A 27,977-nucleotide genomic window follows, 5' to 3' on the forward strand; every position below is an offset into this window, starting at 1 on the left:
GAGAACTGGAGTTGCAGGCATTGAAAGCAGTGTTTGTTGTTTAATCTAATCTATTAAGGCAGATATGACTATAGCAAGTACATTCAGAATTTACCCATATAATCAATTTAAAATGAAGAAAAAGCAGTACAGTTCCAAGTATGCTCATGTGAGCCTCTGCTAATTTTTATGGTATGTTGACATAACTTGCAATTTATGATAAATTATTTCACTTCTTTAAGATTTTGTTTTTGGTTAATTTTCAGTTAAATACTCAACTATCAGAATATGTTTTTTTATGATGATTACATTTCAATTCTCACCCTCTAATGAAATTAACTTATTTCCCTTAAGAAAGATTAGACCATTTAGAATTTACAATTCATTCAATGACACATTTCTTGCAATATTAAGCTTAAGCTTCAAGATATATTTGATTCCTCAGTGAGCGGGTGTGACCATTTTAAATGTACTTATCACTTGAAAACATTCCACATTTTCTTTTTATTTTTAATATAGTTACCATGGTAACCATAGCTGTTTCTTGATATTTTGCCTCAAAAAAACAGCCATGTCATTTTAGACAGACATGGTGGGGAACAGCATTTCTAAATCTCTCTACATCTTTTTCTCTTTATTATGATGATGATATAATGTAATGATAATTTTAAAATTCTGACTATATAATGTCAACTTTTCTTGCTCCTGGGTTTGTGGTATGTCTTTGTTCTATTTGCTTCATGTTGCTATAATGTAAATATTAAATAACTACCTGATTTTATCACTTAAGCAATAGTCATTCTATTAGAGTTGCGTGGTGTGAAAATTGACTACCAGTGTGAGCTAGAACCTTGGATCAAACTACATAATGAGTAGTTATATAAATTATTTGCAAAGCCTGTAACAATGGTGACAATTGTTGCTAAAATGCTCTGAATATTTAAGAGTTGAACTGTGTAATGTGCTGTATATACAAGTCTAAACTTTTAAACTTTAAAATTTGTGTCCTGTTGCAAGATTTCCATTTTATCTGAATAATTTTCTATTTAAGCTAATTTTAGCTAAGTTTTAAATCCTTTTTTAACAGAAAACCTGTTACAGAAGACACCTGCTATTTGATTATTCAATATGTCTCTTACCTTTTAAGACTGAAACTTGATTTTCTTTAGAGTGGCATTATCCCAGCTTCTTTAGGACAGAAAGATTGCTAAGCTATAAGAGGCTGAGTTGTCAGTACTTCTAGGAAATATTCATAAAAGATCTTAACCCAACTCTGAGGTACACCTTTCTGCTATTTTCCTCTTCATCTTACATATGTTCTATGTCAATGGCCTCATGCCTCAGCAGGAACATTGGGCCATGTGGTCCTTTGAGCATAGAAACCTTGGGCTAAAGATGGCCAGAAATAAAGAAAACAGACTGAGCTCCTTATGTAACTCTGGAGCCCACATGGCAGCTCTGTACTATCTACCTCTGGATTTGATGGGATATATATATTATATGTATAATATAAGCCTTTGTGGATTAAGTCATAAAGATTTCTTTTATTAGGTTGACACAAAAGTAATTGCGATTTTTGTCATTACTTGTAACATATGTTGGCAAATATAAATTGTGTACCTTGTATAATAAATCCAGTTGTTTAGTGTATATGATTTTTTATATTCAGCATCTGGTGTTAATGTTAATAATTCTCTGTGAGGCTAGCTTTATTTTTGTTCTATATGAGCTACCTTGAATATTTTCATTAAACCCTAACAGCTCTATGAAGCATATTATTATCTCAATTGTGGAGATGAAAAGAACAAAGCAATAGAGTGGTTAAGGATTTTTTTCCAGGTCATACGTCTTCTGGAATACTGAGTTGTCATTTGAATCCACCTAGCTTGACTAGCGGCCACATTCTCAGCAAATGGTTTTACCTAATGCTGTTATGGATTAAATGTGTTCCCTAAATTGTATGTGTTGGAAATGTAATCCCCAAATTTACATGTTGATTGGAAACGAGGCCTTTGGGAGGTAATTATTATTAGATAAGGACATCAGGGTGAGGTGCCCATGGTAGGACTGATGGCTTTATAAGAAAAGAAAGAGAGACATTGGATGACATACATGTTCTTGCTCTCTTGCCATCTGATATCTTCTGCCGTTTAGTGATACACCAAATAATAGCCTCTTGATCTTGAACTTCTCAGCCTCCCAAACTATAAGAAAAGAAATTATTTTCCTTATAAATTATCCAGTCTGTGGTATTCTGCTGTGGCAAAGAAAATGGACTAAGATGTATGCCTTCTAGACAGTTTTAGATTTGATTGAAATTCAGCCCCAAAATGAAGTTTTTAAAAGAGTATTTTCTTGCTAAAGAGAACTAGCTAAAAATTAAATTAATAAGATCACAATGATATGTAATGTTACTTAACAGCCTATTATTTTATTAACTAGTTCCACAAACATTTTTTTATTGTTTAAAGTATAGTGATTCAAGAAAAGAAGCTGGTGAAAGAAAAATAAAAGAAAGTTTCTTCTCTTAATAGACTTACCATTAATTGTCTACAGATCAAAATAGCAAAGCAAAATTCGGTCACAAGAAGATTAAAACTAAAGAAAAATAATCATAACATTTTAAATCAAGAAATAAAATTTTAGAAACTCCTCTGACCATCTATGAGATTTAGCAAAATGGGTCCTATGGTGTCAGAAATATTAACATTTCTTGAGTGAACACAGTCTACTGGAAGATAGGCTAAGTTCAGTATAGAAGTTATTAATTCAAACAACATTACGCCTAGGTGCAATGCTGTCTTCATTTATAGATGGAGACATTGAGAACTAACGGGATACTTCTTGTATTCAAATGCAGATTCCATAAGACTAGAAATACTCTCTTGTTTCATGCTATATTGCTTATCCTAAAATAGTATTTGTCACATAGTAAATATTCAATATCATCAGCTGTAAATAAAATCACATACCTGCGAAGAGATGGAGTTGCCTGAATAACTCTGGCTTGTCTAACTCTAAATGCAAGGTTTTTTTTTTGTTGTTTTTTTTTTTTTTAATGGAGACGGAGTCTAGCACTGTCGCCCAGGCTGGAGTGCAGTGACGCGATCTCAGCTCACTGCAAGCTCCGCCCCCCGGGTTCACGCCATTCTCCTGCCTCAGCCTCTCAAGCAGTTGGGATTACAGGTGCCCACCACCATGCCCGGCTAATTTATTGTATTTTTAGTAGAGACAGGGTTTCACCGTGTTAGCCAGGATGGTCTCGATCTCCTGACCTCGTGATCCGCCCATCTCGGCCTCCCAAAGTGCTGGGATTACAGGCGTGAGCCACCGCGCCTGGCCTGTACAATGCAACTTCTAAATCACTATTCAGTAGTTAAATTTGAGAGAAGTTAAAAATAGGACTCGGGAGAGACAGTTTAAAAATAGATACTAACATAATAGATAATTATCATGCCTAGATATTTCTTCTTGAGTAGGAGCCCTTGACAATTAAAAGAAAGCCAGGAATTTTAATGCCAAGTTAATGTTGAACAAATTAGGCACACACATACATAACTTAGTCCACAGGTATAGACAGTGATGCACACACACACACACACACACACACATGCTCATACATATCTGCAGAGTTTTTGTGTTATTGTTTTAAAAAAATTGAAAGAGGATAATTATGAAGATTACCTTTTAAACTTGTGTTTCGCCTGTGACTCTGCCTTTTTTGCCTCTGTTAACAGAAATCTGAGAAATTAGAAATGCATTTGCTGAATTGAAGAACCCATTAGAGACTCTCAACAGGAGAATGGGTCTTGCTGAGGAGTCAGTGACCTCTCAGGCCAGCTATTTGAAAATACAAAGTCAGAGGAAAAAAACGAAAAAAAGAATGAAAATGAATTAAGACTGCCTACGAGATACAGAAAATTACCTCAAAAGACTAAATCTGAGTTATCAGTGCTCAAAAGGGAATCAAACAAGAGCAAGTGGTAGAAAGTTTTTTCAAGGAAAGAATAACAGAAAACTTACCAACTCTTGAGATAGATATACATATCTAGGTACAGGAAGATCTGAGAGCACCAAGCAGATTCAACTCAAATAAGAATACCATAAGACACTGAATAATCAGACTGTCAAAGGTCAAGGACAAAGAGAGAATACTAAAGGCAGCAAGAGAAGAAAAGCAAATAACATATAAAGGAATTCCAATCCATCTGGCAGCAGATTTCACAATGGAAATCTTATAGGCCAGCGGGGAGTGGAACATGTTCAAAAGCTCAAAGAAGAAAACTGATATGAAAGAATATTGCATTCAGCAAAATTATCCTTCAGATATGAAGGAGAAATAAAGTTTTTCCAAGACAATCAAAAACTGAGAAAATTTACCATCGCCAGACCCATTGCAAGAAATACTAAAGGGAGTTCTTCAATCTGAAAGAACTGAAAAAAAAAAAAAAACTAATATGCAAAAAGAAAATTTTGCAATGTATAAAACACAATGGTAAGTTTAAGTATAGAGACAAACCCGGAATACTCTATTGCTGTAATTGTGGTGTGCATTCCACTCCTAACTCTAGTATGAAGTTTAGAAGACAAATATATCAAAAACCATAGTAGGTTACAGCAACCTGTTAAGAGATAGATAACAAATAAATATGTAAATAGAGACAAGTAACCCAAAATATGAGTCACATAAAGTGTGTATATATATAATATATATATATACACACTTTATATATAAGTATATATATATACACACTTTATATATAAGTAAATATATACACACTTTATATATAAGTATATATATATATATTTGTATTTTTACCTTTATATCTATTCTTAATTGTGATCTAAGACAAATTTTCATCTAATTGAAAAACATATCTATGAGATGTTTTTGTAAGCCTCATGGCAACAACAATGCAAAAACCTATAATAGATTAAAAAAAGCAATAAATGAAAACATGTAACCAGAGAAAATCACTTAACCACAAAGAAATACAGGAAGAAAGGGGCCGGGCGCCGTGGCTCACACCTGTAATCCCAGTACTTTGGGAGGCAGAGGCAGGCAGATCACGAGGTCAGGAGATCGAGACCACCCTGGCTAACACGGTGAAACCCCATCTCTACTAAAAATACAAAAAATTAGCAGGCGTGGTGGCGGGAGCCTGTAGTCCCAGCTACTCGGGAGGCTGAGGCAGGAGAATGGCGTGAACACGGGGGGCAGAGCTTGCAGTGAGCTGAGATCCTGCCACTGCACTCCAGCCTGGGCGACAGAGAGAGACTCCGTCTCAAAAAAAAAAAAAAAAAAAAAGAAGAAGAAATACAGGATGAAAGGAAGACAGGAAAAAAGAAAGAGAGGAGTAGAAATCGCAAATAAACCAGAATGCAAGCAACAAAATGGCAGTGGTGAGATCTTACTTATCAATAAGAATGCTGAATGTAAATGATCTGAATACCCTAAGTCAAAGGCGTGAAGTAGCTAAACAGATAAAGAAACATGACCCAACCATATTCTGGCTTCAAGAAAACCAATTCACCCTTAAAAACACACATAGTCTGAAAATGAAGGGATGAAAAAAATAGTCCATGCTACTGGAAACCAAAAAAGAGCAGGAGCAGCTATACATTTATTGAATAAAATAGACTACAAAACTAATATTCCAGAAAGAGACAAATAAGGTTAGAAAATGGTGATAAAGGAGTCAATTCATTAGGAGGTTATATTACAAATATTTATGCACCCAACATCAGAGCTTCCAAGTACATAAAGCAAAGAATAATAGATCTAAAGGGAGAGATAGAGTGTAATGCAATAATATTGGGGGATTTTAATACCTCACTCTCAATAATGGACAGATCATTCAGACAGAAAATGAACAAGGAAACAGTGCATTTAAACTACACAATATATCTAATAGGCTTAACTGACATTTACAGAACATTTCACCCAATTGCTGCAGAATACACATTCTTTTCATCACCACATGGAACATTTTCTAGAATAGACCATATATCAGGCCATAAAACAAGACTAAGCAAATTCAAAAAATAGAAATTATATCTAGTGCCTTTTCTCACCAAAATGGAATAAAACTAGAAATCAGTTACAAGAAGAACCTTGATAAATAAGCTAATATATGGAAATTAAACAACATGCTCCTGAATGACTAAAGGGTGAATAAAAAAATTAAGAAGACAACTTCTTAAAATAGATTAGATTGAAAAAAGAAATGCAACATACCAAAACCATGTGTTACAGCAAAAGCAGTGCAGTAAGAAGTTTATAGCAATAAACAACTATATCAAATAAGTAGAAAGACTTCAAATAAAAAACTTAATAATGTACCTCAACCATTAGAAATACAAAAACAAAAAAAATCCAAAATTAGCAGAAGGAAAGATAATAAATATCTGAGCAGAAATAAGTGAAATTGCGACTGAAATCAATACAGAAGCTTAATGAAACAAAAAGTTGGTTTTTTGAAAAGGTAAACAAAATTGACAAAACTTTGAACAAAGAGAAAAGAACCAAATAAATAAAATTAGAAATGAAAAAGGATGCATACCTGAGACCTCAAAAATATGAAGAGTTTTCAGAGACTGTTCTGAATAACTATATACCAACAAATTGGATAACCTAGAAGAAATAAGTTCCTGGAAACATACAACCTACATAGATTGAACCCTGAAGAAACTGAAAACCTCAACAAATTAATAACGAGTAACAAGATCTAAACTGTAGTAAAAAAAAAAAAAAAAAAAAAAAAAAGCTTCCCATAAAAGTAAATCTCAGGACCTGATGGCTTCACTGCTGAATTTAACCCATCATTTAAAGAACTAATACCAATCCTACTCAACTCAACAATAAATTAAAGAGAAGAGAATATTTCCAAACTCATTCTATGAGGCCATTACCACGATACCAAAACCAGACAAGAATACAACAAAAAAGAAAACTACAGGCCAATAACATTGATGAACACAGATGCAAATTCCTCAACAAAATACTAGCAAACCAAATTCAACAACACATTAAAAAGACAATTCACCATGGTCAAGTGAGATTTAGTCCAGGAATACAAGAATAGTTAAACATACACCAATCTGTAAATGTGACATTCCACATTAAGAGAATTAAGAACAAAAATCATATTATTATTTCAATAGGTAGACAAAACCCAGTTGATATAACATTGCTTTATTAAAAACCCTAATCAAAACGGTTATAGAAGAAACATATCTCAAAATAATAAAGGCCATACATGACAAACCCAGAGTTAGTATTCTGAGCAGGGAAAAATTAAAGTCCCTTCTTCTAAGGACTGGAACAAGACAGGATGCCCACTTTCCCCATTTTTATTTCATGTAACACAGAAAGTCCTGGTTAGAATGATTAGGCAAGAGAAAGAAATAACAGTCATCTAAATTGGAAAAGAAGAAACCAAATTAGTCTTGTTTGCAGATGACATAGTCTTAAACCTAGAAAAACATGAAGACTATCACACATTTTCTAGAATTGAGAAATGAGTTTACTAACGTTGCAGGATACAAAATCAACATACAAAAATCAGTAACATTTATATACATCAACAATAAATAATCTGAAAAGGAAACCAGTAAATCAATCCCTTTAGCAACAAAAATATAAAGTATCTAGGAATCCTTCTAATTAAAGGAGTGAAACATCTCTACAAGAAAAACTATAAAATTCTAATGAAAGAAATAGAAGGGAACACAAAAAAGTTGGAAAGATAGTCCATGCTCAAGGGTTAGAAAAATTAATGTTCAAATGACAATATCAACAAAAGCAATTTACAGATTTCATGCAACCCCAATCAAAATTTACTACCAAGCCATCATAACCAAAAAGAGACATATAGACCAATGGAACAGAAAATAAAACCCAGATATAAATTCACACATCTACAGGTAACTCATTTTCAACGAAGATACCAAGAGCACACGATGGAGAAAGGATAGTCTTCTTAATAAATGGTAGCAGGAAAACTGGATAACTGTCTACTGAAAAATAAAACTAAATCCTTATCTCTCACCATACACGAAAATCAAATAAAAATGGATTAAGGATTTAAATCTAAGACCTGAAACTATGAAACTGCTAGAGAAAAAAAAAACACCTGGGAAACATTCCAGGACACTGGTCTTGGCAAAGACTTTTTGAGTAAGACCTCAAAAGCACAGGCAACCAAAGCAAAAATAGGCAAATCCGACTAAATCAAGCTAAAAATGCTTCTGTACAGCAAAGGAAACAACCGATAAAATAAAGAGACAATTCCCAGAAAGGGAGAAAATATTTGAAATCTATCCATCTGACAAGATTAATAACCATAATATATAATAAGCTCAAACAATTCAATAGCAAAATAAGAAGAAGAATCCAAAATGGGCAAAATAATTGAACAGACATTTCTCAAAAAAGACATAAAAATGGCCAACAGGTATATTACGAATTGCTCAACATCACTAATCATCAAATAAATGCAAATCAAACCACAATGAGATATTATCTTATACAAGTTAAAATGGCTTGTCTAAAAATTACAGACAGTAACAGATGCTGGCAAAGATGTGGAGAATGAGGAACCCTTGTACACTGTTGGTGGGGATGTAAATTATATATTTAAAATACAGTCACTGTGGGGAACAGTATGGAGGTTCCTCAAAAACTAAAAATAGAACTATCATATGATCCAGCCATTCTACTACTGGGTATATATATCCAAAAGAAAGGAAATCAGTATATGAAAGAGATATATGCACTGCATAGTAGCAAAAATATGGTATCAAAGTAAGTGTGCATCAATGAATGAATGGATAAAGAAAATATGACATACATACACACAATGGAATATTATTCAACCATAAAAAAGCATGAAATCCTGTCTGCCACAACTTGGATGGAACTGAAGTCCATTATAGTAAATGAAATAAACCAAGCACAGACAGGTAAGTATTGCATGTTCTCACTCACATCTGGCAGCTAAAAATGTGGATGTCATGAAGATAGAGAGTAGAATGGTGATTACCGCAGGCTGGGAATGGTAGGGGGAAGGGATATCGAAGGGAGGAAAAAGACACAAAATAAATCACAATGTGAGGACAGCCTCTCTTTATTGAATTAGAAATAAATATTAATTTGAATATAATAGTTTAAGATGAACACACTACACACATTTCCTCTTTTGGTTTTTAGATGTTTTTCCCTCTGATCCATTATTCTTGTACTTTAGTGGAGTGTTTAGGACAAGATTCTTATTGGGGTTATTGGGATAATTTTGATGGTACTTGTTATTTGATTCTTAAATAGGTGATTACATAGCTTATCTAAAATTTAGAGATTTTTGAGTAATGCTATTTCTTTGAAAGCACAATTACTTAATTTTGGATTGCTCATTATAATGAATTAATTGTAATCACATTAAAAAGTACTGCTATGATAGACTCCTTAGGAAACATGGAAGCATCATATTATCAACTTCAAAAACAACTGAATCTAGATTTTGTAAAATCATCTTGCATGTATTAAGTTTGCCTTCTGCATATTTTAAGGAGGGCTCTGAGTCTAACAAATAGCGTAAATGTTTATTGGTTACTGTTTGAAAATTTTTCAAGAGACTCTAGAATGATACAACATACGAATATAGTCTATTTCACTAAGGATATTAAGATCAAACAGAAAATTCAATATGACAGTGAAGCATATGAGTTTAGTGTATAGACTTAGTGGGTCTGAAACTTAACAGTGCCACGTACTTTATTTGAGACCCTGAACAAGTTACTTAAATTTACTGTGCCTCAATTTCTACAGATATATATATATATTATACTATATAATATATATTAGGATTACATATATCCTACAGTCAGACATCTTTTCTATGCTCTTATAGTATCTTGCAATTTATTATAATAACAAGAAAAAATATTTTTGTTCATTATATATATTTACCTATACTTTATTGCTCTATGATTGCAGCAGTCATCCTTTTATGTTCATAGCTGTACTTCTTTGCCAAATACATGGCTATTACTTAGTGAGTATTAAGTAGTATCTTCCCATAATTAAAATTATGTATAAATGTATATTTGAATGCAAATTAAACTCTTTTATTAAACTAAATCCTTCCTAGACTGGTGGTCTCTAACACCACAAAAATGTAGTTCCCAGATAAATAACCTAGGCAACTGCCGAGTCAACTGGGCTAGTCAACTAAATACCTAGACCACCTAAACACCCTGGTCAACTGGAAATGCATATATTTCCAAAAGTAGATTAGAAAAAAATGAGAATAATTAATAATGAACTGAACAATACTAGAGTTTGATTTAGAGACAACAATGTGGAGAAGGAAAAGATTTTCACTACCTTGTTCTTGCTAAATATCTCTCACTTTGGAACTGTGATAACTTGGACAATCTCTCTGATTTGTAGTCCCAATCACAGTCTTAGGCTAGCTTTATTGCTACAATTAAGATAATATGCATAAATATGATACATGAGCTATAAAATGCATCTCATTGCCAACATTCTCATCTCAGTTTTAAGCACAGGGCACAGAAACCTAAAGTGAAAACTCCACACTATATATCATATCAAAACATAACAGAGGCAAGTATTACAAAATTAAATTAATATTTTATACTATTGTATAATATAGAAATAGCTACATATGTATTATATACTACCAGGATTTTCACTTGTGAATGATATATTTACCTCATCATTATAATAATGCTTAACCAAGCAACAGATGTTCATTTTGAGGAAGCTATTATTGTAACATAGATTGTTAAGGTTAGCATAGTGACAAAACCACAAACCGCTTACAGCCACGAGTCCTTCTTCTCCCAGTAGCACTATAGTTTAACTTTATCTTTCTTTGACCTAAATTCAATAAAAGGGGGAAAAAGAATCCCTGTGTCTTTAAAATACTGTTAAACCACCACAGTTCAGTAATTTATTTGGCTTTAGCCTTTGCAAGCTAACTGTCTGTAGTTGCAACTTTACAGATTTTATGTATTCAGTTTGAAAAAAAAAAAAAGGCTTTTTTTTCCCCCAAAAGAAGCTAGCTGTTAACAGAAAGAAGAGAAAAACAAGATTTATCTTATCCAGCTCCATCCAAAACAAGGTGCTATGCTTTCTGTGACTTCAATTTGACAAGTAAAGCCCTGGGCAGGCATGTAGTATCACTGCTTGTCACTATAAGGCAACAGACTGGAAAAGACATGAGATAGTGTAGAAATAAGCAAGTGTAGCAGGTAACTAATTAAGATTAGGAGTGCACGCTGGAAGATTTTCTAAATCCAAGACACCCAATCCTTCCATATCTACTGTAATACAAAACATATACAGCTGGCATGCAACAAGCTCATCTTGGAAAATGTATGCTTTTTGCTTTGTAAAATTTAAAGTAAAAATGGTAGATGAAATGAAAATCTGCAAGTGAGGCAAAATCTGTGTTGACTGCCTTTGTTGTAGAAGTTTGTCTCATTCTGAAATAAATCTTGATTTATTCCAAATTAGGAGATTTAAGTATTTCAATTTCCAATTTAAAAATAATTCCTTCTCTTTGTCTCTGGCAGTATATAATATGTATGTGTATAAACATATATTCACCTTAAAATTTAATATGTGAATACCAAAATATTACATAGAATTATGTGTAGTCTTGTTTCGCCACTGTTCATTTTTTCTCATATTTAACTCTCATGAAAATTTCCCTCATTTTTTTGAGTGTTGTTTCTATCATTTTATTTCAGTCATTTCATTCTTTATTTTCTTCTATTTTTCCTTTGCTCTACAGTCATTTGGGGCATTGTTTTCTGTATCAAGATCTTTTTACACAGACTATATTGCATGGGAAGGCGGCATGCAAGAGTAATGATATGCAAGGTGATTTTTAAAATAAAATATGACAACTGTTGAAAAAGCATGTTTTATCTATTTCTCATTGTATTTTCTCTTTTTTGATACTGTATAGAATCATTAGGATAAACCAGTTGGCAATATACTCAGAATGAAGAAAACAGTGCAATCCCTGTCTTCCAGGAAATTATAACAGGTTAGGAAAAAGTCACAAAGTGCTTCACCGCATTTTTTTTTCCTCATGTGTTATTCATCAGTATTTCCATGAACTTCCTCAGGTTACTCAGGATCCAAGATAGCATTATACTTACATCATTTATAACAATTGAAGCTCAGAACAAACAGATGTGAGGTTGAAAATGAATCACCTGAATAGCAGCAGTTAAGAATTCTTCACACTTAGCATACACAGTGACCTCCTGATGGAAAAGAGCAATTTTCAGCTGATTGATCACACTCATTTTCCTTTTTCTGAAATTATTATTCTAAAGAAATAATACTGACTGAGTTATTCTGGCCCTGTTTTTCATAATGTCTCCATTGTATTTCCATGTAGTTACCTTGAGTTTATGGAATTGTCTCTGTTGCAACTCAGAAGTCATGGTTCAGCTATTGAATCAGGAAGTTCTGGATATTTTAGAGTTACTTGAAACTTTTTAGGTCTTATAGTTCATTTGGATGGAGCTGGAGGCTATTATCCTTAGCAAACTAATGCAAGAACAAAACCCCTCACTTATAAGTGGGAGATAAATGATGAGAACACCTGGACACAAAGAGAAGAACAACAGACACAGGGGCCTACCTTAGGGTGGAGGGTGGGAGGAAGACAAAGAGCAAATAAAATTAACTAATGGGTACTAGGTTTAGTAGCTGGGTGACAAAGTAATCTGTACAAGAACCCCCAGTGACATGAGTTTACCTATATAACAAACCTGCACATGTGCCCCTGAACCTAAAACGAAATTTTAAAAACAAACAAAAATCATAACAATGTCAACGTGTCCATTTTTAATGGGATTCCATTAAGCTGTGTATATCTTGCCAATTGGCAACCTCTGAACTAGCTGGTGAGCATTTGTCAAAGTATTTTCTTAATTTCAGTTCCATTATTTTGCCAACTCAGTTTTGTAAACCAACTGGATCACAATGAAAACTGCTTAGGAAAGGTAAAAGCTGCCAGCAGATATTTCTTGTAATTTCCAAATATTACACTTAGTAAAAGAAATAAAACTAGTAGAAAATGTAAGCTAACAATTTAATGTTTTACAGTGCTTATAATCTTGTTACTTTCCTCCTTCATTACTATTTCTTGGTTTATCTAGACTTTTTTCAGGATTGTATATATTTTAACTCCCCTTGTCTGGTTGAAAAAAAAAAAACTTAGCCTCCATCTTCATAGTTTCTGAGTAGTGCATTTTGTATATAATTGAAATACTTTTCCTCTAACTTTCATATATAAAAAACTACAGCACAATGAGGAAACAGCCTGCTGGTCTCTGCACATAAATCCTATGACCCCAAGGAGGTTATAGCTCTCTTTTGTTACTATTCCTCTAATGACATAAGCCTGAAATATCCACCTGATCGCATTCCTACTAACACACATAAAACCTCCAGGTCATCAAAGTTCATGATGCTGGATATAAAGTTACCCATTTATTTTATTTTATTTTTAGCTGACATATTAATTATACACATTTATGATGTACATAGTGGTGTCTTGATATGTATAATGTATAGTGATCCAACCAGCATAATTAGCATCTCCATTATCTCAAACATTTATGATTTCTTTGTGTTGGGAACATTCAATATCTTCCTTCTAGCTATCTGAAACTATACAATATATTATTGTTTACTATAATCACATAAAAAACCCATTTTAAAAATGAGTCATTGTATGTGATTGACTGCTACTCATTTCAACAATTCATACCCAGATGTATATTTGGATTACAACATAGTAAATATGAGAGTGTGATTGTTCAGAGATTTTGCTCTCCTTCAAGAGAATGCTTGTGATGCAAAAACAAATAATTGAAAAGAAACTGAATTTTTCATCACATCAGCAAGCTCTGAATAAGTATAGTAGATGACAGTATACACCACTTCAATATGTAATGTTTACACTAACATGACTTTTCTCCTCATGGAAGAATGTGCCTCTTCCAGCTCGTTCATAAAATTTAATTCCAACATGTGCCACCATATCATGTAAAACCACACATAAAGCAAGATCATGTATTTTTATCCATTGTAATTTGTTAAGAAAATAAAAGATACAGTCAAATAAATGTCATTGTATGAAAAACTTGAGAAATCTGAACATCGACCTTACCTGTGATCTCAGATTTCTACAGTGATTTGCTTACCTATCATTTGTGTTTAATGATGCTGAATTTCTCCTACTACTTCAGGAAATCACAGAAATACATTTCCACTTCTAGGAGCATACTCTTCCACCAAAATTAACAAACAAATGAACTGGACTATTCACTCTAATCTTCTGTTAATATCTGCAGTAATTTCATGCTGCTTTAAACTAGTCTATTATACACATTTTAATAACAATCATTTCTGAAGTAAGAGAGATTGAGTCATTGGGAAAATTGGATTTGCTAAAAAGATGTCAACGACTTGGATTTCTTTAAAAGGGAGCAATTTTTCTAGGAACACAGGAAATGGGTCAAATAAATACAATGCCTCCAGAATTTAAAAGAGTACCACAACACACTATATTTCTTTCTTAGTGATGTATAGTATCATAACTTACTCCCAGTCAGTGGACACCCAAAATGTCAGGCCTTTCCGTCTGCAGTAATTACTTCCCAGTCCCCTGCCAAACATGTGTTCTTTCAGTGGGTCTAAAGGAGTGCCTACAAACTATTGATGGTAAAGGATTGTTACGGAAGCTTTGGGGTGTCAATTTTCTTTCTGGAAACCTCGGTGGCCAGTGGCGCCTTTCTCGGGTTCTTGTCCTGCATCCAGAAGAATGAGGTACGCAGACATGTGAAGGGTGAACAGGATGAAGATGAGCTTTATACAATGTTACAACAGCTCAGAGGAGACCTGCAGTGTGTACCTACTCTCTGCAGCAGGCCATCCATGGGCTTTTCAATTCTCACCAGAGGAGGGTCTGGAGAGGGTGGCACCTGTCTGCTGGCATGTTGTTTCTGCAGCTCTCAGCAGAGAAGGTAGCTAGCTCCTCTCTGCTGAGAGCTGGTCATCCCAACATCTCCAGCTCTCAGCAGAGTGAGTATTCCTCTCTGCAGCTGGTGTCCAATTGTTTCTCTGCCATCTTCATCCTCTGGCCATTATCTGCCCTACTCTGGCTGAGTCCAGGGCTTTTATGGACCTCAGAGGGGAGGAAGTGCCAATTGGTCCATGGGCGGCCATGGGCAGGTGGAAGAGGCACCAGGAGTCCCCACTCTGGTCCCCTGCCTGATAGTGTGGCCCCCAGCCTTCAGGCCCTCCCTGGCTTGAGGTGGGGCCTTACTGGAGACCCAACCCCTTCTGCCCAGGAATCAATTTAACTCCCACTGCCATTCATGGTTCCCGGGGCTCAGCCCCAACCCCCAATCTGAGATTGGGGCAGGCTAGGAGGGAAGAGAGGCCAGGCAGCAGGAGGAGACACCCCCAAGCCTGCAAGGTAGGGGAGGAGGGCTTCCCAGGCCCCAAGGGTGCAGGCTACAAAGACACCGTGTCCTGTACCTGGGAGGGCAGCAGCAGCTGTACCTGGGAGGGTAGATCCTGCCTGTTCCCAGTCACCTGCCAAGAGCATAGGCAGGCTCAGATCCACAAACTGTGGGCCAGCCCAGGAGGGTGGGACTCCTGCCTGCTCCCTAGAGCAAAGGGTTTGGGTCTGCAGCCACAGATTGGGCAACTGGGTGGCTGCATCAGCACCCAGGGAGCTCCCACCCCAACTCAGAAGGGGCGGGGTTCCCACCTGCTCCATGGAGTGGCAATCCCCAGCCATGACTACCTGCTGCAGCTGGCATGATGGCAACAGCCACTGCCATCATTATCAGCTGATTATTGTTAATATTTTTTCTAACATGTTGTGGAATAATATTTTACACACAATAAATATGAAAAAGGAGAGTAGCAAAGAATGCCAAACACATACGAAATATGGACACTGAGTTCTATCTGCATATTCAGGAACTGTGGTAATTCTACAGTTGTAACTAGAGTTTATCAGTAAAACAATTCTTCATGTTAGATGCTTATAGGCACACTCTGAACAGAATCATCATAACACTTGGTATCATCAGTCATTTTCATTTTATCCATTCTAGTGGGTGGGTGTGTAATGGTCTCTCATAGTGATTTGAATTTTTCATTTATATCTTGCCGTCTTTTAGGCATAGCATATGCTGTGGCAAAATAGTAGATATACAAAAATATATTAATAAAATGAGAAAGATTTTCTAATATTAAAATTAATTACTTTTCTCTTTCATAGTGCTCTAATATAACTTGTTTTCAAAATCAGCATTATCTGTTTCATTTCCATAAATGAGGGTTATTAAAATGAATCAATGCATTTGTACCATGCATAATTCATGAATGAAATCTATAAATTACAAAATATAGATTATAGGCCCAACTGTCATAATTTTCATAATTGCTGTATTTTAACTTCTACAAATAATCTGATAAATATATTATCTCAAATTTTATGACATTACTGCTTATCTCCACTGTGTTCTAGGAATTCTGAAAAATAGAATATACAATTGGCCCCTGAACAACATGGATGTTAGGGGCACTGAACCTCATGTGAAGCTGAAAATCATATATATTAATAACATTTGACTCTCCAGAAACATAACTACTAATAGCCTTATTTATGTTATAACTTAATAACTTACTTATGTTATCCTACTGATAAGATAAACAATATTAACACAATACTGATAACATAAACCGTATTGATTCATGTCAGCCTTACTGATAACACGAACAATATTAACATGTATTTTGTATGCTATATGGACTATATACTGTATTCATATGATAAAGTGATCTACAGAAAAGAAAATGTCATTAAGAAAATCATAAGGAAGGGGAAATATATTTACTCTTCATTAAGTGGAGATGGATCATCATCAAGGTGCTCATCCTTGTCTTCATGTTGAGAAGGAGGAGAATGAGGAAGGGTTGGTCTTGTTGCCTCAGGGGTGGCAGAAGTGAAGAAAATTCATGTATAAGTGGACCCATACAATTCAAACCCATGTTGTTCAACAGTCAACTGTAATTAAGATATTTCTTGCTGTTTTCTATGAGCCACATATCAATAGAGAAACTAAAAACATTTTAATTACTGAAATGTAAGACACACTGTGATAATGCTATAATGCAGGAATCAAATTTTGTAGGAGATTATGGAACAATCCCGTGCTATCTGATTAAATAATCTTTCTATAGTTTAGTGCCAATAGACAGGTTACTTACACTTAAATATAGTTGGAGGGAGGAAATTGAGAAAAATCAAAGTTCTACAATCTTATTCTCATACATTTTTGGCTAGAATTTCCTGTTTATGGAATGGAGAATAGAACTGTTTGGAGAGAACACAGAATAGGCAGACAAGAGTTTGGGAATAGGATTTTGATATTGAGAAAGATTTTAAGAGGTATTATATACTAGGTACTCTGTGTGTGTGTGTGTATGTACCTGTGTGTATACATGTATACATATATAAATACATACATATATACATATACATACATACACACATACACAGAAAGAGAGAGCGATACAGAGACAGAAAGAGAGAGAGAGATAAAGAGAGAGACAGCTTGGACCAATGTAGTGAATATAGAGAGAAATAAGAAAATGATTATAAAATAGCAGCAATATAATTTAATAATTTATAACCTGTTGCTTGAAGATAATATTTTAAATAATTAAACTGAGAAGAGGTATGCTGACAAGGACCATGAAGGAACACATGGCCTACGGAGACAGAGTGGAGTATAGATGTTTGGATATGCTCAGCTTGTGAAAGACATGAGATGTCCAGTGGGAAGTTATACAAGGATATATGGAATTCAGACGGGAGGTGGATAAATGTGAGATTAGATGATAAAATATTAGTTGATGTTCTGAAAAAAAGATCATTTAGGAAAAAATACATGTAATAAGCAAACAGATTTCGAGTGGAGTGCTTTGGTGCTGTTTATTTTAAGTGGCTGAGTAGGGACATGTGAGTCACTCAAGGAAACAGAACAAATATAAAGGTTAGGTCAACTAAATGATTTAAACAGTATAGAAGCCAAGTTATTCAAGGGAATAAAAATTTTAAAAATAACATTTATTTCAGTTTTCTCTTTTTTACAGTAAGTTATGATTCAGTGATTAATATTACCAGTTTATAGAGGAGGCTAAGAAACAGAGATATTAAGTATCTTTCCTAGGCTAAATGAGTAACAAAACTGGGATTTTACTAAAATCAGAAAATTAAAAAGAAAGAAGAGCTCTGGATAAAGCAAAAAAAAAATGTGTCATTGGTTTATTAGTCAGGATGAATCAAATTATGCTGAATTAAAAAATTAGCCACGCTATCTCAACAGCTTAATACAACAAAGATTTGTTTGGGTCTGTATATGTTTAGCACGTGTTAGGGTTGCAACTTGGAATGGTGGGCTCTGATCCACCTAGTCATTTTCATGTCTGATATAGCCTGTATCTCATGAAGTGGTAACATTGTTGGCAGAGAGAAAGATCAGTTGCAGATTTCTTTGCTGCTTTTTCTATGCATTGGTCCAGAAATGACACATGTCACTTTTGTACACAGCCTATTGTGTAGAACCCACTTGCAAGCTCTGATTAACTGAAAAGGAGCTGGAAAATATGGGACAGCAAATGTTTGTTATATAGGAGGAGTTTCACTGCTTAACTAGATTGCAAAGTACCAATGAGGGAGTCAGGGAGCAATCAAGATGAGATGATAAGGGAGATTTACTATGTAAAGAGGAATCAAAGGAGGAAAGATTCTGAAGACACAAAAGAGGCAAGAATATATTGATGAAATTAGGATCCAAATAAGACTTAAAAACAAAAGAAATAATTAATGTTTTAAATGATAATATTCAGTCTCAATAAAGTATCGAGTCTAAAATTTCAGATAATAAAAACTTCCCTAGCTCATATTAGATACTCAATAGTTACTTTTCAAACAAGTTAGTGAATCATCTAATTAAAGTAAAAAGGGACTTAAAAACATATTTCCTACGTAGCACTGTATACAAAAAAAAAAAAATCAGAACTTCAGGTATTTTAAAGCTTTACCAAGAAAAAAATAAGTCGTAAGGGAATTGTTATTTATTCTAATGTGTGTTAATCATAATTTTTAGAAATGAGTTAAAATAGCTAATGAAATAGGGATCTCTAAGACTACATGTACAATAGCATACGTACTAAAGTTTAATGCTGTCTGGAGGACAAGGAATAGTTGTAATTCCTTAAAGCATTAATCAACCTTATCAGGCTTCCAGTAAAAATATGTTTTCATACCTTAATAACTTAAAAATTATTTTTAAAAAATAACAACATCCTACCTTATCCCAGTTTTTCTCCCTAGAGGGAATTATTGCTAATAATTTTGTGTATCATTTTCTAAAAATGTATAAAATATAGCAAGATACATAGATCATACATACTTAACCAGATAATGTTATTTTTACTTAAGAAAGTAATATATACTCTTTCTTGAACCTTCTATTTGAATGTTATTTCATTTACAAAAGAAGTAAAATTATAAGCTAAAAATGATAAATAAAATATATGCTTTTCAAATATAAGTGTACTATAATAAGTCCAATTAATGTTGATTATCAAGAAGCAATCTCATTTTTCAACTGTTTTAAGTTTATCATTTAAATAACGAATGGCTCTGGTCAGTTTTTATATGACACACTATTTTTCATTAGGCATTTATTACCAAATTATTATGTGCTCTACTAATTTATCTCACTATTTCATTGTGTAATAATGTTTGAAATATTACATCACAGAAATGAATCTAAGTATGTTTCTTTATTTAAATTGTAAAACTAATTTAGGTAGTAAATGATAAAATTCTTTTTTGAGGGATTTATATAATTATTAAAATATCTGTTGTTTTTATATAGGAAAAATATGTATTCATCAGTTTAAATTGTTTGTGAACCTGGATTGTCCTTCACATCTCTTGGCTAAAAGTCAATATCCAATGTATTCTTTATATATTACTCTATGATATATATCCAGTAAAATGCTATGTGGATACAAAAAGCAAAATTAGGGGATGTATGGTATATGAGTCAGTGTATCAGTGGAGAATACCAGTGACTGACTAATAATTCACGTTAAATCTACTATGTGAAGACTGTTTGCTAGACAGTAAGCATCATGATAAACTATGCTTTATTCATGTTTGTAGTCACAGTGTCTAGAATATTGTCTAATATCTATTTGGCTTTTGAGAGTTCAATGAAAAATTGATGAAGGAATTTATAAATTAATGAGTAAATAGTGATCAAATAGTCATATAAAGTAATACTTCATGAAGAAACAGCATTGAGTTGGCATTTGGGAATTCCTATGATTTGGCACCCTAGGACTATAAATGATTTTATTTTTCATATCTGCATATATTTTTATACTTAATTATTTGTTCTAATATATTTATTTAAAAATATCAGCAGTATAAAAACATGTATTAAATTTGATTTGAAACTATTGTTATAAGGAAAGGAAAAAATCCTCATATTGAAGTGAATTTTATCTTTATTTAATGCTTAATATTTTCCACATGATATTTCAAAGGTTTATGTTATTATTTCTATTATTAAAATTTCAAATATACACAGAAAGCTTACTGAAAACACATTCTAAGTTTTTAATCATAAGTATATTTTTATAGAAGGCAATAAGGTACTAAAATACACTGTTCTAGTGCTGGAACTGAAAGCTGTTAAAACACAGACCTGTTTGCCGTAAATATCCTCATCAATTGATATAAAGCAACAGCCTACATACTTCAGAAAAAATGCCCAAGAATACAGACAAATGAACAAAACTTATAATTATGTATAATTTATAGTTCGCGGTTTTAAAAATAAATGTATTAAAACATCTGTACAAATATTTATTAACAACTTACTATTTATATTCAAAGTTTCCTTATCTTGAACATTTTTAAAGAAAAACAAAACTATAATGCTTACCCTGCTCAATTTAGAGAAATAAACTTATTAGCCACAATTCAACAAAAGGAAGTCTATTCCATCATTTTTAGTTCTGGGAATATCTTTTGGGGAAGATTCTAAAATAGTCTTCAGAGAATTATCTTCAAACGTACCAAAAAACTTCTCAGTAACATTTCCTTTTAATTCTGTAAGAAGCCTTAAAATCTAGGCACTAATTTTCAGAGGAGTCCTTCTGTGACACTCTTGCTTACAGCCATTGGCCAATACCTTATATGTAAGCATTCTATAACTCTAGTTATATAGTTTCCTTTCTATATTTCAAATGGTCACTAGACCCTGATTTTTTATATCTATATTCATCCCAATTCTTTTGTGATCATATGTTTTCTTAAATATTCAACCACTTCATAAAATGCTCTTTCTACTTCTAAGTCGTAAAATGAGGATCATCACCTTTACTCCAAGAGACCTCTTCCCTCAAAGAGACTACCCATTCACAATCTTAGCTCATAGATCCTAATGAAAGTGGGTTGAATTGTATCTCCATAAAACATATGTCCAATTGGAATCACATAATGTGACCTTTATGAAGTTAAGGTATTTGCAGTTGTAATCAAGACTGGGATCATTAAATTGAATGACTCCTGATTAGAATGAGTCCTAAATCCACTAGGAGGTATCCTCACAAGAGACAGAAAAGAACATCACATTACCTGACTTCAAAGTAGCTGCAGTAATCAAAACAGCAAGGTATTGGCAATAGAAACAGACACATAGACTAATGGAAAAGTATAGATAGCCCAGAAATAAATTATGTTATATATGGTGAGCTGATTTTTGACACAATGGGGAAAGGACAGTTTCTTCAATAGATGATGGTGGGACAACTGGATAGCCACCTACAGAAGAATGAAATAATTAGATCCTCATCTCATACCATATACAAAAATTAACAGAAAATCAATTAGAGACTTAAATGTAAGACCTAAAATTAAAACTCCTCAAACAGAAAGTAGAAGAAAAGCTCTATGACATTGGTCTGGGCAATTATTTTTTAGATATGAACCGAAAAGCACAGGTAACAAAGCCAAAAATAGACAAATGGATTACATTAAACTAAAAAGCTCTGAACAAAAAAGAAACCATAAACACAATGAAGAGACAAACTATGGAATGGAAGGAAATCTATTTGCAAACCCTACAACTAATAAAGTATTCATATCCAAAATATATAAGAAATTCAAACAATTCAATAGTAAGAAAACAAATAACCCAATTGAAAAATGGGCAAAGGATCTGAACAGCAATTTCTCAAAAGAAAACATGCCAAATGGCCAAAAGGTATAAGAAATAATGCTAAATATTATTAATCATTAGGTAAATGCAAAAGAAAACTACAGTGAGATATCACCTCACACTGGTTAGAATGGCTATTACTAAAAAGGACAAAAGATAACAAATGTTGGAAAGAATATGGAGAAGAGGGAACTATTGCACACTGTCAATGGCAATGTAAATTAAAACACTCATTATGGAAAACAGTGTGGAAATTCCTCAAAAGATTAAAAATGGTATTACCATATGATCCAGCAACCCCACTACGGGGTACAGATCAAAAGGAACTGAAATCAGTATATTGAAGAGATATCTGGTCCCCTATGTTCACTGTAGTATTATTTATAAAATGCAGCATATATACACAAGGAAATACAACTATTTCTACCTTATAAAATGAAATTCTGTCATTTGTGACAAAATAAGTGAACCTGAAGGACATTATGTTAAATTAAGCCAGGCACAGAAGACAAATACTGCATGATGTCACTTACATGTGGATTTTAAGAAGTTGATCTCCTAGAAGTACAGTGTGGAATGGTAGTTACTAGAGGATGGGTGGGGGATTGAGGCAGTGAAGAGATATTGGTCAAGGGATTTACAATTTCAGTTAAGTAGGAGGAATAAGTACAAATGATCTATTGTACACATGGTGATTATAGTTAATAGCAATATACTGTATTCTTGAAAATTGCTGAAAGTAGATATAAAGTTTTCTCACTACAAAAAAATATATAAGTATGTCAGATAATGCGTATGATAATTAGGTCAGTTTAGCCATTCCACAGTGTATACATATTTCAAAGCCACATGTTGTACATTTTATTTATATATATATATATATATATACACACACACACACACACATCATATAATTTTATGTTTTAATCTAATAAATAAATACATAAATTTTTAAGGGTGCAGAAAAAGAGGAGCCAGAGATACAGGAAAGAAGGCCAGAGATACAGGAATGAAGACGGAACCAAAATTGGAGTTTTGCTGCCACAAACAAAGGAATACCAGGAGGCACTAGATGCTGGAAGAGAAAAGAAACCATTGTCACCCTGGAGTGTGAGCCTGCTCATACCTTAATTTTAGACATCTGGTATCTAGAGCTATGAGAAGGAATTTCTGTTATTTTAAGCCATTGACTTTGAGGCCATTTCTTGTGGCAGCTATAGGAAACTAACACACCAGGTTAGAATCAACGTGGTAGTTTCTCAGTATCCACAGGTGGTTGGTTCTAGGACCCCCGCCAATACCAAAATCTGAGGATGCTCAAAACTCTATTTATATAATATGGCATAGTATTTGCATATAACCTACACACATCTTCTCATATGCTTTAAATCACCTCTAGATTATCTACAATATGTAATACTATCTAAATTGTTGTTATACCATATTGTTTTTATTCATATTATTTTTTATAGTTGTACTGTTATTTCTTTTGTTTTGGAATATTTTTATACACGGTTGAATGTGCAGATACAAAGGGTCATCTGTATTATTCTAAAATTAAATAAAACTATATATTATTTGCCTTTTTGAATAAAGAAATTTTTGATCAGTTACTACATATGATAACTTGTATAATTGCAACTTTATCTTCAGTTACTGGATATAGAAATGTTAATTTATTATAGTATTTCTCAACCTTATTTTTACTACTGCCCCTCATTCCCCCATAGCCATTTCATACTTTTTAAATCACTTTTCCCAAAATATTTTAATATCACAGACATGCTGCATAGTTGTCTGTGTATGAGATGCATGCCATTTGAGTGAGACTCAATGACATGTGTGAGATTTTTTCACCAACACCTAAGAACTTGTTGAGAATGTGAGATTTATGAGGTACTCCATACTCAGAGACGTTAAGTAACTTGCTTCAAGTCAAACAAAATGAGCAGAGAAACAGATGAATTTATTCTAGCTAACTTCAAAAGCTAAGTGTTTAACTATTATAATATACCATTGCTGCTTTTTATACATGTAACAAAATGGAAACAGATTTAGTTTTTAGGTTTTAAGTTAATAATTATAAAATTATGGCAAAATAAAAAATATGTAAATAAATAAGTATACAAATATGTAAGTAATTGAGCCACTTATTATTTTAGTTCCCCAGGAACACCATTCACATAGAACTTCTTCCTAAACATTTACACATGTACTTGCAATGAATAATTTAGGATTTTTTGGACCACTTACTTGAAAAAAACTGCTTCAGAAACAGACAGTCATTGAGTACAAATGATATATGTATACCAGAAATGTATTGAAATGCTATATTTTCCTTATTGATCCAATCCCAGAGGGCATTATAATTACAAAAGTGTTTGGGGTTCATCATTGTTCACACTTCCTAAATCTGTCATTATCTCCAAATCTATCTCTTACCTGGATATTTTAGTAAAAGATAAGGGAAGTGGACCAAGAAAAGAGTAATTGAATTCAAATACCCATCGAGAGTTTTTCCCTTCAAAAAATTATGGATGATTTTTCTTTATAAACTTTTTTAAGTTTCAGGCTTAGGTATTTATATATGTATATTTTATATATAATATGTATATATTATATATACATATATGTAACATATATACACACATAAAATGATATATTTAAATATATACATATATGTATATATACATATATAACTAAATTATATATTTAAACATATATATGATAATTGAGAATTTCAATATTATAAACTATATTTAAATTTATTTTATATACATACATAAATATAAATGTGTATATATATACACATTGTATATATATATATTTTTTTTCCCAATAATAAACTGGGAAAGGTATAAGGAACTGTTCCTCTCTCACAGAAAAACCTTCTTTTACTCCACTCTTTAATCACAGGTGAATCACCTGATCCCCTTTAACATTTTCCCCAATACACCATTTCATTGTTCTTTGTTCTAAGACACATTCTGATGGCCAGGATCAAATATCCACAGTATCTGCTCTTATGCAAGCTCTATGAAGCAGTTCATATAGTGGTGCAAAAGAAAATCCAAACAAGTTCATTTTCCTTAACTTCAGTGGGTTGTTTAATACTTCCTAGCAACGGTGCCACAGATTAGATACTTATATCTATCCCTTGCTATACTTTTTTTAGTTGTAACCTTGCTTTCTACTTCATAAAGAAATCTATGAACATCCCCAAGCTTGCTCATATCAATAAATAAACCTCTGCATTTTCTCTTTACTCATTTTTTCTTCTGCAGTCTCCAAGGATGAGATGGACTATTACAGTTCAAGATTAATTTTCTCACCTAAACTTTTGATCTGATCTCCTGTCATCTTTAACCAGAAATTACACATTCAATTATTTGCTTCCACCTCTTTCCTGAGTTTTCAACATCTACTGTTTCCTTTTTCAAAAGTTATATCTATGCTCTTGTTTGAATTTGTTTTATTTAGGCTTTCAGAAGAATGCAAATACAGAGCAAAACAAAAAACTCTTCACTTTGTATTCTCTTTTAGTTATCACTCTTCTTAAAACTAATGTGTGTTGAATTTCTCCATAGTTGCCCTTTAGTGCTTCAATTTTACTTGTTCTTTTTATTATGTTAGAATTATTCTGAAAAAAGGTTTTAATGATGTCTTATTTGAGTAATTCAGAAAACCTTTAAATTTAAAAGTATATATTTTATTAATCAAATCTATAACTAATACTGACTCTCCCTCCTTGCATTTATTTTACAATGCCTTTGCATATGATATACCTTTATACCATGTTCAAATTTGAATGATCTGTAAATGACTAGAGAATCGTAGATTGACAGCTATTTTCCATCAGCACTTTGAAGATATAACAGTAGTCCATTATCTCTGGCCATTATTAGTGCAGCCACAAAATCTACTGTCAGTCAAATGATTGCTTCTCTATGTAGTAATATGACATTTCTCAGTTCTTTTTTATAATGAAAGTTTCTACTTTACATAAGAGTAGTAAAAATTTTATAATGAACACATACACCCATAACCCAGTTTTGAGAATTACAAACATTTTTCCAATATTATAAAATCTAAAATATTAATTTATATTCTTTTGTTTAGTTAGAGCCAACATATTCCAGATGTTTCTTTTACAAGTAAGCAGTTCAATGCGTATTACAAATGCATGCATTTTTTGTTTCGTGTTATAATCTCAATGTCACTATCAAGCTTACCACAATAAAAAAATAATATTAGGTTAACATATTTTAAGGCCTAGTTCATATTCAAATTTTTCAATTGACTAAAATGTCTGTTCAGAATTGATGCATTCAAATAGAAACAAAAACAAGGCCCATGATATGCATTTATGTGTTGTGTTTCTCAAAAGGTGTTATTCTGAACCAATCACCTTATTCTTTCCTCTTTCCTTTTCCATTCCATGTACTTTTGGAGAATTTGAATCCCTAGTATAGGCAGTTTCTGGATATATTTGATTTCTTCCTTAGAGAGTTCTTTATCTTGTAACTTTTCTTACTTGAAAAAATAAATTTGTAGTTAGATCTAGAGATAAGGCCATATTTTTGTGAGAATAATTCATAGGTGGTGCTCTGTACTCCCACTGCATCACATTAATATCCACAAATATATGTGATACATTTAAGCCATGCTAAGATTGATCAGCACATTCAGGTGTTATCAGCATGACTCAATGACTACAAAATTTCTGATCAAATTTTACCCAATTCTTGTATCATCCACTTACAACAATTGACTAGATGTATTATTTCTTTAGATGATTAATTTTCTCTGTGTTTCTTATGCAGAAAAATATTTACAAGAGAAAGGGAGACTATAGGCTTAATTTTCCCCTTATTTATTAATTTTGAGAGGAAGAAGTTCATTCCTTAGAAACCAAAATAGATTTTAGATACTTGATATCTTTCAATAAATGTCAGTCTTTATACATTGTAATACTCAAATTGTTCCATTCTCGGTGAGCGTCCCTTCAAGTTTGCTCCTCTGTCCTTTTTGGCATGATCCCAGTGGCTTTCTATTTTCTTATATCACAAGATTCCTTAGCTGAGTGTTAACTTTTCAGCCTGATATTAGAAATGTTCCATTTCCCCCCACCAACCTTAATAGTTTTAGGGAAAAATGGTAGTTAGAGACGACAGTCTGGATTCTTGGCATGCAAATTAGTTTTACATCAGTTTCCAGCCCTTTTCAGTAGAGATCCAAAAAAGTGTACATTTTTCTTAAAGAACTAGTAATTCAATATTTAATATTATAATGATTTACTTAGACTTTAAATAATGTTCTGTTTTTTTGTTTTTATTTTTGAGACGGAGTCTCTCTCTGTCGCCCAGGCTGGAGTGCAGTGGTGCGATCTCGGCTCACTGCAAGCTCCACCTTCCGGGAGCTTCTCCTGCCTCAGCCTCCTGAGTAGCTGGGACTACAGGCGCCCGCCACCACACCCGGCTAATTTTTTGTATTTTCAGTAGAGACGGGGTTTCACCATGTTAGCCAGGATGGTCTCGATCTGCTGACCTCATGATCCGCCCACCTCGGCCTCCCAAAGTGCTGGGATTACAGGTGTGAGCCACCGTGCCCAGCCTCGTTTC

The 27,977-nt window shown here is 33.2% G+C and overlaps 2 long non-coding RNA genes across 5 annotated transcripts in view; one reads left to right on the forward strand and one right to left on the reverse strand.

Annotated features, from left to right (window-relative positions):
* Positions 1 to 4,359, forward strand: part of LOC124904475 (uncharacterized) — a 765,263-nt gene extending 760,904 nt beyond the window's left edge. Inside the window, exon 9 of the long non-coding RNA XR_007066777.1 lies at positions 3,717 to 4,359. This is a non-coding gene — a long non-coding RNA (uncharacterized LOC124904475). The remainder of the gene's footprint in view (positions 1 to 3,716) is intronic.
* Positions 1 to 27,977, reverse strand: part of LOC107985242 (uncharacterized) — a 199,987-nt gene that overhangs the window by 57,335 nt on the left and 114,675 nt on the right. The window contains exon 2 of one of the 4 annotated variants that reach the window (XR_001738353.2): positions 16,948 to 17,039. The exons of 2 other annotated variants lie outside the window; for them this stretch is intronic. This is a non-coding gene — a long non-coding RNA (uncharacterized LOC107985242). Of the gene's footprint in view, positions 1 to 16,947; positions 17,574 to 27,977 lie in introns of those variants that run through there. One more of the 4 variants, XR_001738352.2, reaches the window with a different exon arrangement.

The sequence above is a fragment of the Homo sapiens genome, chromosome 1 (assembly GCF_000001405.40).
Source record: "Homo sapiens chromosome 1, GRCh38.p14 Primary Assembly".
NCBI classification, from domain to species: Eukaryota; Metazoa; Chordata; class Mammalia; order Primates; family Hominidae; genus Homo; species Homo sapiens.